The 15,358-nt window shown below is 47.7% G+C and overlaps 1 protein-coding gene and 1 long non-coding RNA gene across 3 annotated transcripts in view, besides 2 other annotated features; one reads left to right on the top strand and one right to left on the bottom strand.

Annotated features, from left to right (window-relative positions):
* The window catches only part of STUM (stum, mechanosensory transduction mediator homolog), a 60,467-nt gene extending 58,870 nt beyond the window's left edge, over positions 1 to 1,597 (bottom strand). For both annotated transcript variants that reach the window (NM_001003665.4, NM_001410930.1), the window contains exon 1: positions 1,255 to 1,597. In NM_001003665.4, coding sequence (NP_001003665.1) covers positions 1,255 to 1,456 — 202 coding nt within the window. In that variant the 5' untranslated portion in view covers positions 1,457 to 1,597. The remainder of the gene's footprint in view (positions 1 to 1,254) is intronic.
* Positions 2,319 to 2,613: a silencer, noted in NCBI's record as "tiled region #13952; K562 Repressive DNase unmatched - State 12:CtcfO". NCBI's record gives its function as "represses a minimal TATA promoter and a strong SV40 promoter by Sharpr-MPRA in K562 cells {active_cell/tissue: K562}" and the evidence as "EXISTENCE:reporter gene assay evidence [ECO:0000049][PMID:27701403]".
* Positions 7,259 to 7,553: an enhancer, noted in NCBI's record as "tiled region #7345; K562 Activating non-DNase unmatched - State 21:Repr". NCBI's record gives its function as "activates a minimal TATA promoter and a strong SV40 promoter by Sharpr-MPRA in K562 cells {active_cell/tissue: K562}" and the evidence as "EXISTENCE:reporter gene assay evidence [ECO:0000049][PMID:27701403]".
* Positions 7,622 to 15,068, top strand: LOC105373116 (uncharacterized). The gene is made up of 3 exons (XR_949222.3): positions 7,622 to 7,722; positions 9,106 to 9,224; positions 11,662 to 15,068. It is a non-coding gene; the product is annotated as an uncharacterized LOC105373116 (long non-coding RNA).
* Positions 15,069 to 15,358: the final 290 nt, after the last annotated feature.

Raw genomic sequence — 15,358 nt, 5'->3', positions numbered from 1 at the left:
ACTGCTCAGATAGGCTGCTCTGGCCGCAGCAGCCCCTTAGGGTAGAAAGACAAGTAAGCTCGGAGGGGAAAGTGAACGGGTCCTGCGTGGGTGGCTGTGGCCTTGGCTGTCACCGCAGCAGAGGCCCCTGCTAAGCAGGCGAAGAGCGAGGAGACCGTGAGAAAGGCCAAAGTCAAACTGAAAACCCCTTCCAGCTGGCCTCTGCTCTTGGGAACTTGGAACCATACGTTGGCAACAGGCTCGCCGACAGGGGCACGCTTTCTCCCGGAGAGGGCACTGGGGCGCCTGGTTCTTCGGGCGGGCACGGGAGAGGGGGGCACCTCCCAGCACGCAGGAGCAGCCAGTGCCAAGCTGGAGGAGGGGAGGGGCGTGCAGGCAGAGACCTGGGGGTGGAGTTAAGGGAGGGAGGGTCAGGAAAACTTCTCATTCCCTGCCTCCATTCACCCTCCTGCACCATCTCTGTAAGGGGCCTCTGCTTTAAAACGTGGGACATAGATGCCACCAGAACCCCTGCCGGCTGCCGGAGTCCTGCACAGAATTACATCGGCGCACTCTCTACTTCTCAGGAACAGAAGGGATCCGAGGGAGCTATGGGTTCATCTCTGGCCACATGCATCCAAACTAATAAAATCATCCCCCATCCCCCTGGCGCCCTGCGGGGTGCTGGCGGAAGTGCAGGTACCCCTGAATGAGGCGGAGGAGACTCTGGCTAGAGTTCTCGTCCCCACGCGGTCCGCACTCCGCGAACCAAAGGGGGCTGCAGGTATATCTAGCCCGGCTCGTCCTCTTTCCCCGGCTCAGCTGACTTCGACGCCCGGGAGTTTGATCCTCGCCGCCGAGGCCCTAGAGCTCATTCTGATCCGACCCCATTCCTCTCGGGGAAGTGGGCTCGCGGACGGATGCACACGACGGAGAGAAGGAGCAGAAATCGGGGCGCCGGGACGGGAGCCCTACTCCGAAGCCGGCAGAGCCATTCCGGCCGCCGCTGCGGGCTCCAACATTGGCCGCAAAGTTTCCGGCTCTTTGGGGCCCCGCCTGCGGGTCGGAGACCCCAGCGCAGCCTCTCCCCTCTGGGGTGCACACTCCACGCGCTTCTGCCACCTGCCCGGGGACGCCAGGAGCGGGCGGTGGCGCGTGGTCGCAGCACTTGGAGCGCGCGGCCCCGCCAGGAGGTCTCCGGCCGCGCCCTTCTCTCCCCCCACGCCCTCCCGCGGCGGGGTGGGGGTCGCAAGGGTCGCGGCAGCCGTGTCTTACCCAGTCCCGGCACGAAAGTGTTGAGGAAGAGGCAGATGACGGCCACGGGGAAGGGCATGTAGGGGATGGCGGCGCGCAGGGGGCCCTTCTTCTCGCGGACCTGCACCACCACCCCGCTGGACGAGGACGCCCCCCGGGGGTCCGCCGCCGCCACCGCCGCCGCCGCCGCCGCCGTCTCGGCGTCTTTGTGCGAGGGCTCCATGGCCGGGCGCGCTCTCAGGCAGCCGGGCAGCACGGCCGGAGCTGGCGCCCAGCGTACGGGAGCAGGAGACTGTCGGCTGCGGGCTCCGGGCTCCGCGCCGAGCTCAGGCGGCCGCCGTGCTCCGTGCGCCGCGCGGCTCGCGGAGACTCCCGCCCTCCGGCGTCCCCACACGCCCGGCGGAGGGGCGGGGAGGGCGGCGCGACACCCGGTGACAGCGCTCTGACGCCCCTCCTCGCCAGGCCCCTTCCCCGCCCCCTCCCCCCAACCAAAACCACCGCTCACAAGGAATGGAAAATCAGGGCGGAGGGAAAGCAGTGGAAGAGGACCGCAAAGGGAGCTGTTTGCCCAGGTGCTGGAAGGGGTGGACACACCTCGCCCTCCCAGACAGGTGAACTAGGAACCTTGACCACGAAGCCCTGCGAACTGGGAGTGTGTGCTTGGCTGACACCGTCGGGAAAGCCTCGAGGCTGAGTCCCCTGATCTAGAGCAAGCCTTTGGCCAGGGACATGGGGACAAGGGACGGACCGCGCGGCGCCTGACACCTAGTCGGCCTTCAGTGCATTGTGATTTAAATGATTTTGTTTGGGGCGAGCGCAGTGGCTCCCGTCTGTATTCCCCACTTTGGGAGGCCAAGGTGGGAGAATTACTTGTGCCCAGGAGTTCGAAACCAGCCTGGGCAACGTAGCGAGACCCCCCCCCCCCCGCCCCAGCTCTATTTTGTAAAAAAAAAAAAAAAAAAAAAAAATCACTTAAAAAATATATAGGAGTGAATTTGTTTCAAGTGTCAGAGAAAAAGCAATCCAGAGATCGGATCGATAATAGAGGAAACAGATTTGCAAACACCAGGCCAGGTCTCCGCAAGACTAGTTAAAAGATGGGACACTTCCCTACACACACGCACCAAAAGCAGAAAGAAATGCGCCTGTTGCAGGCTTGTTGGGAAGCGTTCACCATCCCCTGAACTATACTGGAGGAAACCTGAGCCTTCTGTGAGCCCGACGTGGTGGTTAAAGAGCCAGTGAGGACACAGCGCCGTCTGGCGTTAATAATGGGGCAGTTGGTAGAAGCAACAGCCGGCAGCTTGAGGTCCTGTTTGAATTCGATTTTCTGAATAAGGCTGCTTCGCCTCCGCACCTGGAAAAAGTAAACGGATGAAAGTTACCGCCTCTAACGTTAGGGAGGGGTTAAAGGCTTCGGAATTATCCAGACAGTCAGCAAATCGTCTGAATAATTGGAAGGGTGCAATAGCCTCCCTTCAGGAATAATAGTGATTATTATTATAAACAACCCAGGGTCTCAGAAGAGGCTAAAAGAACATGGGTTATTGTATACTTATACTTATTGTATAAGTCTCTGAATAAAATAATTTTAAAAGCAAATGGCCAGGGGTTAGTGATGATACTGGTGGACACACACATGCGTGTGTACACATACACAGATACACACACACACGAGTCATTAGCTTAGGTTTGGCAGTCAGAAGAACAGGGTTAAAAATTTTAGTCTTTGTTCAGCCACTAAAACCTGTATGGCTTAGAAGAACTCGCTTAGCCTTTTCTGGCCTGGAGTTACTGTGTTGGTTAAAATCATAGCAAGCTTCCATTTAATACACAATTATTGAAGGCCTACTAAGACTTAGATTCCAGGGAGAGAGAAATGAGTAAAATCCAGCCTCTGCCTTCAAGAATCTAAGAAATGAGCTGAGAGATACTGACAACTACAAAGATAGACTTACAGAAACAGTGAGGAATGTTGCAGCTGTGATGTGCTGGAGGTGCTGCGACAACATGGACCTATCTGTGAAGCCAGCTAGCGTGGGGGAGGCCTCGGGGAGGTGTCCCAAAGAAGGCGATACTCAAAGGGACTTGAGCAATGACTACAGTTAACTATTTGCAGATTTGTTTTATTTTCAACAAACACTTATTTACCCAAGCACTCTCTGCCAGGCATCATTCTAAAAACCCTTTACACATTTTAACTCTTTTAATCCTTACCATAACTCTACAAAGTAAGGATTATTTATTACCCCATTTTACAGATGGGGCAATTGAAGCACAGAGAAGTTAAACAGGCTGCACAAAGTCCCCCACTAATCAGTGGTAGAGCTGGCAGCTGAATGCAGGCAATCTGGCTCCAGAATCAATTCTATATAACCAGTATTTTATTCAGAGACCTAGAAAATAACCCACATTCTGTGAATATTCTTTTGCAGAGCACTTGAACTGTCTTAGGGCCAGTCAATCATTCCTCCTGGAGAAAAAGGATTTCAGGGACGTCAGTGGATTTGCATCCCCCAGTTTTCCAGATGATTTGCTGAATATCTTGGATGTCAGAAAGACATCCAGGCAGAGCAACAAAATATACAAAGGCATGGGAGCCCAGGGAAGTAGGGATGATTCCAGGAATTGCAGTGTGGCTGGCACTAGGGCTTGTGTGGGCAGAGACAGGAGATGGATCTGGTGGGGTGGACAGGCATCTAGTACTGAATGGCAAAGGAATTTGGACTTCATCTCGGTGGTGGTGATGCAGAATCACTGGAACATTTTAAGCAGGGGTGTGGCATAAGTGTTCCAGTTACTATCACTGTGTCACAAATTACCCCCAAATTTAGCAGCTTAACACAACCATTTTTTTCTGATCACAAATTCTGTGGTCAGGAGCTTGGACAGAGCACACCAAGATAATTCTTCTTTGCTCCTTGTATCTGGAGCCTCAGCTCGGGAGACTGAAATGGCTGATAGCTGGAACAGCTGGGGCTAGAGGATCCACTTCTGAGAAGATTCTCAGGAATCTCAGCCTGCCTGGACTGGGGTAACTTGAAAGCTGGGTCAACTAGGATGGGTCAGCAAAGCGCCTACACATGGCCTCCCCACGTGACTTGGACTTTTCACACTATGACAGCTGGCTTCTGAGAGGGAATTTCCTGAGAGGAGGCCCCCAGAGAATGAACATTGCAGGACCAGTGGAAGCTGTGTGGACTTGGACTTTTCTGCCCTAACTTTGGAAGTCACACAGTGTCACTTCTGCAGGGCTTTACTGGTCGATGCAGTCACAAGCCTGCCCAGATTTCATGGGGGACACCCCGCCTCTCTATGGAGGGGTGTCAAAGACTTGGGCCTAGGCTTTAAAACCACCACCATTATGAGATATATTTGTTCACAGTGTGGAAGATGGGCTGGAGGGGATAAAATCAGGTCACATGCTTATATAGAGGCTGAGGGGGAGGAGGACTCTTCCTGACTGAAAAGGACTGAGAATGGGGTAGGGACAGTTCCCAAATGAAAACTGGGTATTAATAGCAGACAAGGAGGAAATGAGTTTGAAGGGTCTGAACACATCCGAGAGGTAGCGGGGACTCATTGATAAATGGCCAGCATAGATAATTGTCTTGATAAAAGTTGGATATTGAGTCAAATCGAGAATCAAGGAAGCAATTGGGGCTGCAGATTTGGGAGCCATCAGCATACAAATGGTAGTTAGAGCCCTGTATGCAGATGTGGAATTTAAAAAGTCACAGAGGCTGGGCGCAGTGGCTCATGCCCGTAATCCCAACACTGGGACGCTGAGGCAAGAGGATCACTTGAGCCCAGGAGTTCAAGACCAGCCTGGGCAACATGGCAAAACTCCATCTGTACGAAAAATACAAAAATTAGCTGGGCGTGGTGGTGCACACTTCTAGTCCCAGCTACTCAGGAGGCTGAGGTGGGAGGATCACCTGAGCATGGGGAGGTCGAGGCTGCAGTGAGCCGTGTCGCACCACTGCACTTCAGCCTAGGCAACAGAGTGAGACTCTGTCTCAAAAAAAAAAAAAAAGTTACAGAATTTCTGTAATTAAGCAGAAAGGAAAAAGGAGGGAAACGAGGTTTACATGGAGAAACACTACTAACAGTGTTTCATGGAAGCCAAAACAGGAAGATTTTAAGGAGGATGCAGTCAGCAGTGTCAAATTCACTGAAGGGTAAGGTAAAACCCCAAAAGTGCCCTTAGATTTGGCAGTTGGGAGATTTAACTCTCTGAGATCCTAGCTAAAATGTCTCACATGCTATGTATCCCTTTTCTAGGAACGTGTCCATTTCGTGGAAGTTATGGAATTTGTTGGCATAAAACTTTTTCTACTTTCCTCTTATCTTTTTAATGTCTGTCAAAGCTGTAATGATGTCTCCTCTTTCATTTCTTATATTGTTCATCTGTACATTCCTTTTTTCCTTACCGCTCTTGCAAGAGGTTTATACAGCATCTACTTGACATTGTGATTGCAGCTGATGTTTGTAGGAGAGTTTAAGATCTAAGGTATTTCAGGGAGGAAGAGGCTTCCGAATAAAAGTTAAAACCTTAAATGATCATCTCAAAAAATCAGACACAAACGCAACAGGGGAAACAGACCAAACAGTTCATTACATCAGCCAAATAATACATCTGGGCCAAGCACTGGGTCATGAAGATAAAAATATATTTCTTGGCCTTGTTCTGTCATCAGATGAATAAAGTACATCAAGTTTTGGACATTTTTTAGCTAAAATAAAAATTTGCTGAAGTCAGCTTCCAAACTGCATGAGGAATTCCTATTCCAACCTGGAAGAGAGCTTCCAGGTGGTTCCTTTTTGGCAAAGACTGGCATCATAGCATCAGCAGTGGAAAGACAAACTTTGTTTGAAGCTCTGAGCCTTTGAAAAAGTTTTTTAACCTCTCTGAGCTTCGGTCTTCAAAATTGTAAATAATACCTAGCTCATTTGTGTATAAGAGGATTAAGTGAGATAATACGTATAAGGCACTCAATAAGTAAATGGCAACTGAATCAGAAGCTTTTTCATGCCAAGTGATGGAACACAACTCAAATTTAGTTTATGGGGAAAAAAGTATGGATGTAATGTCTTTTTGATGTATCAACTTGGCTAGGCTCAACTCTAGCCCACAGAATTCCCTTTCTAGTTAGTTTCCATTTATGTTGGGCCAATGGGAATATTCTTGCTCAAGAGTTGGAAGGCAGAAGGGAGGCAGCAGCCATTTTGTAGTTTTCACACACTTCTCTGAGGTATCTAATCAAATACAAATCTGGGTGTTTCCGTGAAGGAATTCTGCAGATGTGATTTAAAGTTCCCAATCAGGGTGGGCGTGGTGGCTCACACCTGTAATCCTAGCACTTTGGGAGGCTGAGGCAGGTGGATTGCTTGAGCTCATGAGTTCAAGACCAGCCTGGGCAACATGGCAAAATCCTGTCTCTTCAAAAAAAAAAAAAAAATTAGCTGGGTGTGGTGATGCGTGCCTGTAGTCCCAGCTACTTGGGAGGTTGAAGTGAGAGGGTGGTTTGAGCCCAGGAGGCAGAGGTTGCAGTGAGCTGAGATCACGCCACTGCACTCCAGCCTGGGTGATAGAGCCAGACCTTGTCTCAAAAAAATGAATAAATAAAACAAAGTTCCCAATCAGTTGACTTTAAGTTAATCAATGGAACCTGGGCAACATGGCAAGACCTCATCTCTGCCAAAAAAAAAATTTTTTTTTAAATTAGCTGGGTGTGGTAGCACATGCCTGAAGTCTCAGCTACTCAGGAGGCTGAGGCAAGAGGATCACTTGAGTTCAGGAAATGGAGGCTGCAATGAGCCATGATTGTGGCTCCGCACTCCAGCCTGGGAACAGAGCATGACCCTGTCTTAAAAAGAAAAAAAATTAAAAAGTTAATTAATGGGAGATTATCATGGGTGGGCCTGACTTGAGCTCCTTAAAAATGGGCCTTCTCTGAGGGAGATCCTCCAAGTAGCTGCTGGGTCAACAATTGCTCTCCTTTCCCCTTAGAACTTTCTTCCTGACTGCAGCTGAAGGACATCATCAAGCTTCAGCTCTTGCCATGGGCTTCCAGCCTACCTGTGACCTTCCCTTGCGGCTGCCTGCTGCAGAGGAAAAGTTAAATATTAAATTTGAACTCCATTGAACGTGGACATAAACAATGGTCACTAAGCCCCAGAACAGATTGCATGAGCCCCTTGAGGCATTCATCCAGCAAAGTTTCGGAGAAATCTGCTCCTGTACGTTAGTTATTGAAAAACAACGGACAGCTGCAAAAACAAGTTGACCTTTTTGTGTTCCTTGAGCCCAGTCATGAAGGGCCCTCATGACTGGGCCTCATGCCAAACAACTCGTTACAAAAGAGCTAGGTTCCCAGGCCGTGCTGAAGCTCCATGAGACCTTTCCTCGTCTGTGCACAGACTGGCAGCCGACTCTGGAACCCAGATTGTTGCTTCCCGGTCTAGTGATCCTTCCTCCATAGTCTGGTGAGTGTAAATATATATATACATATTTTTTCCCTTCTCCCCTTTCCGCTGCAATTTGCATTTTATATCATTTGCTTGTTATATCTGTATTGCTATATACGTGGGATAAAGGTTGCTTACTCTTAAAAGGTATTGTATGTCTTTTCTTTTCCCCTCGTGCGTTTCCTGCACAGAACATTTTATGGCATCATGAACAGGATTCGAAAACAAAAGTATGCCGCTTTTTGGCTGGAAGGACAGGAATGGAAGCTCAGGGACTTCCCATATCCCAGGATGGGAACTCCCCCAGTTTTCCCCCTTGGCAATTGAATGGTCCAGGGGAACTGGCCTTTGTGAGAACTGGGAATCTAAATTAGTGCAATTTGAACCTTTGGCTGTGCGTGAAGTGCTGCAGGGGATTCCAGTGGGCAAAGGAGATTCCAAGGAGATCTGGCATGGATGGTGCTTGCTTACTGCTTATAAGTTAATGTGTCAAGATAGGATCCCTATCTTGGTTGCTACAATAAAAAAGTAAGCTGGAAAAGGAAAATGCTGACTTAACTTCTAGGCTGGCTTTGGCCCAATGCCAGGCCTATGTCCTGACTGATCAAGCCCAAAGCTACCAGGCTATTGCTGACAAAACAGCTGTCTGGGTGGCCTGGTACAAGTATAAGAACAGGCAAGCCAAGGTGGATAGGCAGAAGGTACAGGTAGCTCTTGCTCGAGTAGGCCCTGAGTGGGACCCAGACACATGGGATGGAGATATATGGGATGATGATGAAGAAGGGACCACTTACTCCCCTGATGAATAAAGGGAACCTGCTGAGGCCAGACCCCAGAGGCGGCCACGGGCCATAGAGTGGGGGCGGAATGGACAGATGGTCTGGAGAGACGCTGTAGAAGACTTTACCCAGCAGGAAATAACAGACATTTTACAAACCTTTCGACAAAAGGGAGGGGAAAGTGTAATTACTTGGTTGGTTCGAATTAATGAACAGGGTGCCAATGGCATTAGAGTGGACTCAGGGAATGTTTTAAAGTTTGTTACCCTCTCATGGGTACCCAAAATTCAGCTGGCTCTTCGAAATTGGGCTACTGCACCCCACCCTACTAATGATGAGGGAAATGTTTTAGATGAAATATCTTTGTGGCAATTGGCCATCAATGTGGCCAGACAGAAATATTCCACAGAGGATGCCTGGCCAGATGGGGGAAAGCCCTGGCATACACTTAAGGAGTATGCTATGCGGTTAAAGGAGGAGGCCATGGAAACAGCTGTGGTACTGGGAATGGCTGATAACATAGAGGCAACACCTTTAAGTCCTACAATCCGCAATAAGATTTTAAAGATTGCTCCACCTGCTTATAGAATGGTGTTAACATCTTTATTATTTTCCCATACAGATACTCCCACACGGGAGGTACTGGAACAACTAGGTCAGCTACAGGACTTGGGGGATCGGATGCCCTGTGGGGAGGAGAGGATTAAGGAGTGGGGCAGACAAACCCGGGACCAATCTCAGGTTAGTCAGAAGGATATGTTTGCAGATTTATTGAAGGCAGGGGTTCCCAGAGAACAAATTGATGGCAAGGAAGCTAAAGAGTTATGGAAACTATACCAACAAAAAGTGAGGAATGTGCGCCAAATAACAACAGGTGGGCCCTCTAGTTTGGGGCCGGGAGTCACCCCTGGCGTGCCTCCATTGAGTACCCCTGTAACCCAGCCATCGGGAGGCTCTTACCAAGAATTATTGGATTCTTTAGCAGGACTATGACAGGAAGGCTAGGCCCCTTTGCAAATAAAGTGCATAGATATGCACCCATATGTGAAGCTTAACATCTATTGGAAAAACAATACTATTACTACCCTAAAAGCCCTAATTGATACAGGGGCTGAGGCCACTCTAATATATGGAAACCCCAGTACATTTCATGGACCCAAAGTGGTCATTTCTGGTCTCAGAGGGAAAGAGATTCCTGCCTACTATTCTGCTATACAAATGAAAATAGGAAATAGCCACGGAAAAAAAAACATAAAGTTATGATTGTACCCATCCCCAAATATATTATTGGCATTGACATCCTAAAAGGGAGAACTCTACTTGCGAGACGGCCAAGACTCCTTCAAAGTCAGGTCCTTAAAGTTAGTCTGCCCAGTTACCACAGACAAATTGCATTACGAGGTAGATATTCCTGCTGCCACTCAAATAATAAATTTGAAGCAATATTATATTCCGGGAGGACACAAGGAAATTACCGAAACCATTCAGAATTATGTAGCGGCGGGTGTCTTAGTGCCCACCACCACTCAGTAGAATAATCCTATTTGGCCTGTTAGGAAATCTGATGGGAGTTGGCATATGACCATGGATTATCAGGCCTTAAATAAAGTCTCTGCCTCTAACTGCTGCAGTCCCGATGTAATAACCATTGTTGAACTGGTCCAGCAGCATCCCAGAACATGGTATGCTGTAATTGATCTAGCCAATGCCTTCTTTACCATCCCTTTAAACCCTCAGATATGGGACCAATTTGCTTTCACATGGGACAGGAGACAATATAGTTTACTTGCTTGCCTCAAGGGTACGTACATAGCCCCACCATTTGCCGTCGGCAAGTTGCTGAGCATTTAGATGCTACAAGGCCAGAACTAAATTATTTGGGACTTCAAATCAGTCATTATATTGATGATATTTTAATTCAGGGGGAAACTGAAGAACGAGTCAGCCGGGGTTTGGAGCAGGTAAAAACCCAGCTCCAAACTGGGTTTTTCCAAAATGGGAAATTAACTCTAGTAAGATTCAAGGACCTGCACAAACTGTAAAGTTCCTTGGTGTCCTATGGAATGCAGAGAAATAGTCCATTTTACCAAAGGTTAAGGCTAAAATACTAGAATTTGCCACCCCTACCACTAAAAAAGAGGCCCAGAAATTTATTGGCTTGTTTGGATTCTGGAGACATCATATTCCCCACTTGGGTAACATTTTACAACCTCCGCATGCAGTCACTAGAAAACCCTATGACTTTCACATGTGAAACAAGCAGTGCAACTGGCCCTGGATCTATGGCTCATGCAGGATGGGCCAGAAGAACTGCAAGTAACTGTCCTAGATCAACATGCTAATTGAAGTCTTTGGCAGAAACAAGATGGGAAGAGGGTACCTTTGGGGTTTTGGACCGGGAAACTGTCAGAGGCCGGCAAAACTTATACCCCTTTCAAGAAGCAATTGTTAGCTTGTTCTTGGGCTTTGCTGGAAACAGAGTGCCCCTGCTTCAACCGTGATGTCATTATGAGGCCCAAAATTCCTATTATGACTTGGGTCATGAGCTCCCCAAAAATCACCAAATAGGGCACACCCAAAAAAAGTTGCATCATCAAATGGAAATGGCACATACAAGGTGGTGCTAAGCTGGGGCCAAAGGGGCTATCGTTTTTACATGAGGATGTACAAAATTTGCCAACCCAGGACACACCAAGCAAGTCCTGCAGATAAGGAAAGAGCCACCGTCCCCCGCCACTCCCGCCACCTACAATGGGGCAAATCCTTTAAAGAACTAAACCCAGAGAATCAGAAACACATTTGGTTTACTGAAGGATCCGCCAAATACATTGGTGGGACCCGATGCTGGAAGGCTGTGGCTCATAATCCTGTTAAAAACATGAGCATTTCTGTTGAAGGAAGGGGTGGGAGCAGCCAGCTAGCTGAACTGGTGGCTGTCCTCCGAGCTATTCAGGAGGAGGCTGGAGCTATTCAGGATTTGTCACTTGTATACTGACTCCTGGTCAGTAGAAAATGGTCTCACTACTTGGATGCCCCAGTGGCAACAAAACAAATGGTTAATTGGGAATAAAGATGTTTGGGGAAAACAATACTGGGAAGATATCTGGATCCTGGCGCACACTATCATTATCACCGTTTTCCATGTTGATGCTCATGCATCTCTGCTTTCTCTTGACAGACTAATCAGAAGGCTGACCAACAAGCTAAAATTTCCACTATTACTGCAGACTCAGGCCCAGAAGAACCGGATTGGGCTGCGCTCATGCAATGGGTGCATCTCCAGTGAGGACATCTAGGCATCCAGGGAACCATGGCTTGGGGACAGCAAAGAGGGATATCATTACCGAAGGATGTGGTTCACACAACTTTATCCCAACGCACTACACGCCAACAGTTAAAAACTAAGCCAGTTCCTCAGAGGGTTTTGGGGCACATTCATAGGGGAAAAATGCCAGGACAAATTTGGCAAATGGACTATACTTGTCCTTTGCCACTTCTAAAGGGTGCCAATACATATGTACTTCTGTAGACACCTGCTCAGGGTTCCTAGTAGCCTGCGCTTATGCTAATGCTAACCAAACTAACACTATTAAAACCTTAAACATCCTAATTCTATATTATGGTGTGCCCATACAAATTCAAATGGACAGTGGCTCCCATTTCAAAGGTAAGGCTGTACAAACCTTTGCAGCCCAACATGGCATAGAATGGATTTTCCACATCCCATGCCACCCACAGGCAGCTGGCCTAATCGAAAGAATGAACGGGTTATTGAAAAAACAGCTAAAGGTGTTAGGGCAAGGTAAGTTAAAAAAATGGAACGATCACCTGTTTGAGATAGTACAAATTTTAAATAATCGGCCATTAACAACATCTGAAACCCCACTGAGCCAAATGCTTATCCTACACTTACAAATTGCTAAGTGTGCAGGTGTAGTCCACCCTCTCTTGCTGAAATGCTGGAAAATCCACCCACTCCCATGGAGGAGTACAAGAGGAGCTGCCAGTTTGGACTTATATAGTTTAAAGCCTGGGATAATTCCCGCCCAAAGTACATACACGGTAGCCACCGGCTTAGGAGTTATTATAGGTATTATACCTTGCAAACATTATGGGTGGATTACATTCCAATCAGGTCTTGCAATGCGGGGTATTACAGTACACGGGGGTATAACTGACAGTGATTACCGGGGAGAGTTAAAGGTCATTTTATACAATACCACTCCAGATTCTTTTGCTATAAAACTGCAGATACCAGTTGCTCAATTGTTAGTGGTACCTTGTCAGCAATTAACCCTGTAGGAAATCTCTGCCCCAACAGAGGCTACATACAGAACCAGGTTATTCAGATCCACTGGTACTAGTGGCTTAAATCCTGGAGCCAAAATATAGGTACAGCGTCCATCAGATCCCACCCCTCAGGCTGGTGACCTTGTAGCTATGGGAGCAGAAAATGAAGGCATAGTACAATTTCCTAAATATGAAAAAACAATATCATGTTCCCCTCCACTTTTGCTATTACAGGGAATGACCTATCTACTGATGTGTCTTGTGTCTTTGTGTCTGAGGCCTAGAATGAATTTATTACCTGGTAGCCACTGCTGCAAAAGAGCTCAACCGCAGTCAGTGCTGGTATGTGTCGAGTTGCCAGAGGCTGCAGGGAATGGATTACCTTAGAATATTATCTCTGCTAATATTTCCAAGTGGCTATGTCGCTACCAATGGGGTTGGGAGAATAGCACCTGTAGTACAACCTGAACTTCTTTTAACCAAACTAAACAGTCTATTCTTGCCCAAATTCAACAAAAGGCGAAATCCACCCTTGCAATGAGTCAAAAGCTTTTGTATCCTACCTGATATGCCTGGAACAGCGTATACGGGGAACCTGTCATACTGGTAGCTGGACTCCTTATGGCCCCCCCTTTGTTTGGGGGCCTTAAATGGCTTCCCCAATGACACTCTGGGGTTTCTCCCACCAGACAGTTGTCAGCACATATTCCAAATCAATAACAGTGCCCCCAGTGAAACACAGCACCTTTGTTACTTAAATTACACATTACAGCAATACGATTGTAGTAGAACTCTTCCCCTTCCCTGGGGGGCCCTCTGGGTATGCGGATCCTATGGGTGGTGATACTTGCCCCCGAACTGAACAGGGAGATGCACTTGGGGGTGGCCATTAATTCCATTCACTATCTGGGATAATATTTCCCTCCCCAGTAATCTAGTTACTTACAAATATTGCTGGTTACAAATGCGCCGGACTCCCTGGTGGTGGTACCATATCACTGCTGGTACAATCCTGCTTCAACAACAAATTAAAATACTAAGCTTGCATGTAGAAAAAGCTCTTAATGCTAGTAGCACTGGACTTACATTGTTATCAGATGAATTTGCTCAGGGGCGTACTGTTGTGTTGCAAAATCAAATGGCATTACACATCCTTACAGCAGCCCAAGGAAGGGTTTGCGCCTTACTGCATGCTGAATGTTGTGTGTATATCCCTGACAATTCTCACAATATTACTCTCCTTGCCCAAGACATGCAAAAACAAAGCAGTTAGAATATAACCATGGGCACCCCATCGTGAATTGGCTGTCCGACTGGCATTGGCGTTGGCCGTGGTGGGTGTGGTTTTTATTAATTGTGCTTTTAATTCTCCTGTGTTTACCCTGTATCTGTAATCTATATCAACTATGCCTTCCCCATGTATCTTTACACGTTTTATCCACAACTGAGTATCAAATTGAGGCCGAATGTGGAGGAAAAGTTAAATATTTAATTTGAACTCAATTGAACATGGACATAAACAATGGTCACCAACTCCCGGAACAGGTTGCATGAGCCCCTTGAGGCATTCATCCAGCAAAGTTTTAGAGAAATCTGCTCCTGTACGTCAGTTACTGAGAAACAACAGACAATCACAAAAACAAGTAGACCTTTTTGTGTCCCTTGAGCCCAGTCTCGAAGGGCCCTCGTGACTGGGCCTCATGCCAAACAATTCATTACAAAAGAGCTAGGGTCCCAGACCGCACTGAAGCTCCATGAGACCTCTCCTCGTCTGTGCACGGACCGGCGGCCCACTCTGGAGCCCAGGCTGTTGCTTCCCAGTCTGGTGATGCTTCCTCCATAATCTGGTGGTGTAAATATATATGGACATATCTTTTCCCTTCACTCCTTTCCACTGCAATTTGCTTGTTATATCATTTGCTTATTATATCTATATTGCCATATACGTGGGATAAAGGTTGTTCACCCTTAAAAGGTCTTGTGTGTGTGCCAGGCGCGGTGGCTCATGCCTGTAATTCCAGCATTCTGGGAGGCCGAGGCGGGTGGATCTCCTGAGGTCGGGAGTTCGAGACCAGCCTGACCAACATGGTGAAACCCTGTCTCTACTAAAATACAAAAAATTAGCCGGACATGGTGGCATGCGCCTATAGTCCCAGCTACTTGGGAGGCTGAGGCAGGAGAATCACTTGAACCCGGGAGGCGGAGGTTGCACTAAGCTGACATCGCACCACTGAGCTCCAGCCTGGTGACAGAGTAAGACTCCGTCTAAAAAATAGAAATAAAAATAAAAAAGTCTTGTGTGTGCGTCTTTTTTTTCCCCCATGCATTTCCAGCACAGAACACCTGCCCTACAGACTTCAGACTTGTTTAGCCACAATTGTGCCAGCCAATTCCTTATAAGTCCATCTCTCTCTCTCTCTCCTTCTCTCTCTCTCTCCTCCTCTCCTATCTATATTATTCTACTGGTTCTGCTTCTCTGGTTTAACCCTAGACTTACATGGCTGGGAAGTCCATAGAAGGGCTCAAATTATGTCTATAAATATTCTAATCTCTATATGTATATCTCCATCTCCACCCTTCCCCAC

Source organism: Homo sapiens, chromosome 1, assembly GCF_000001405.40.
Source record: "Homo sapiens chromosome 1, GRCh38.p14 Primary Assembly".
Lineage (NCBI taxonomy): Eukaryota > Metazoa > Chordata > Mammalia > Primates > Hominidae > Homo > Homo sapiens.
The sequence above is the reverse complement of the archived record's forward strand: the minus strand, read 5'-3'. Positions and strand labels throughout refer to the sequence as shown.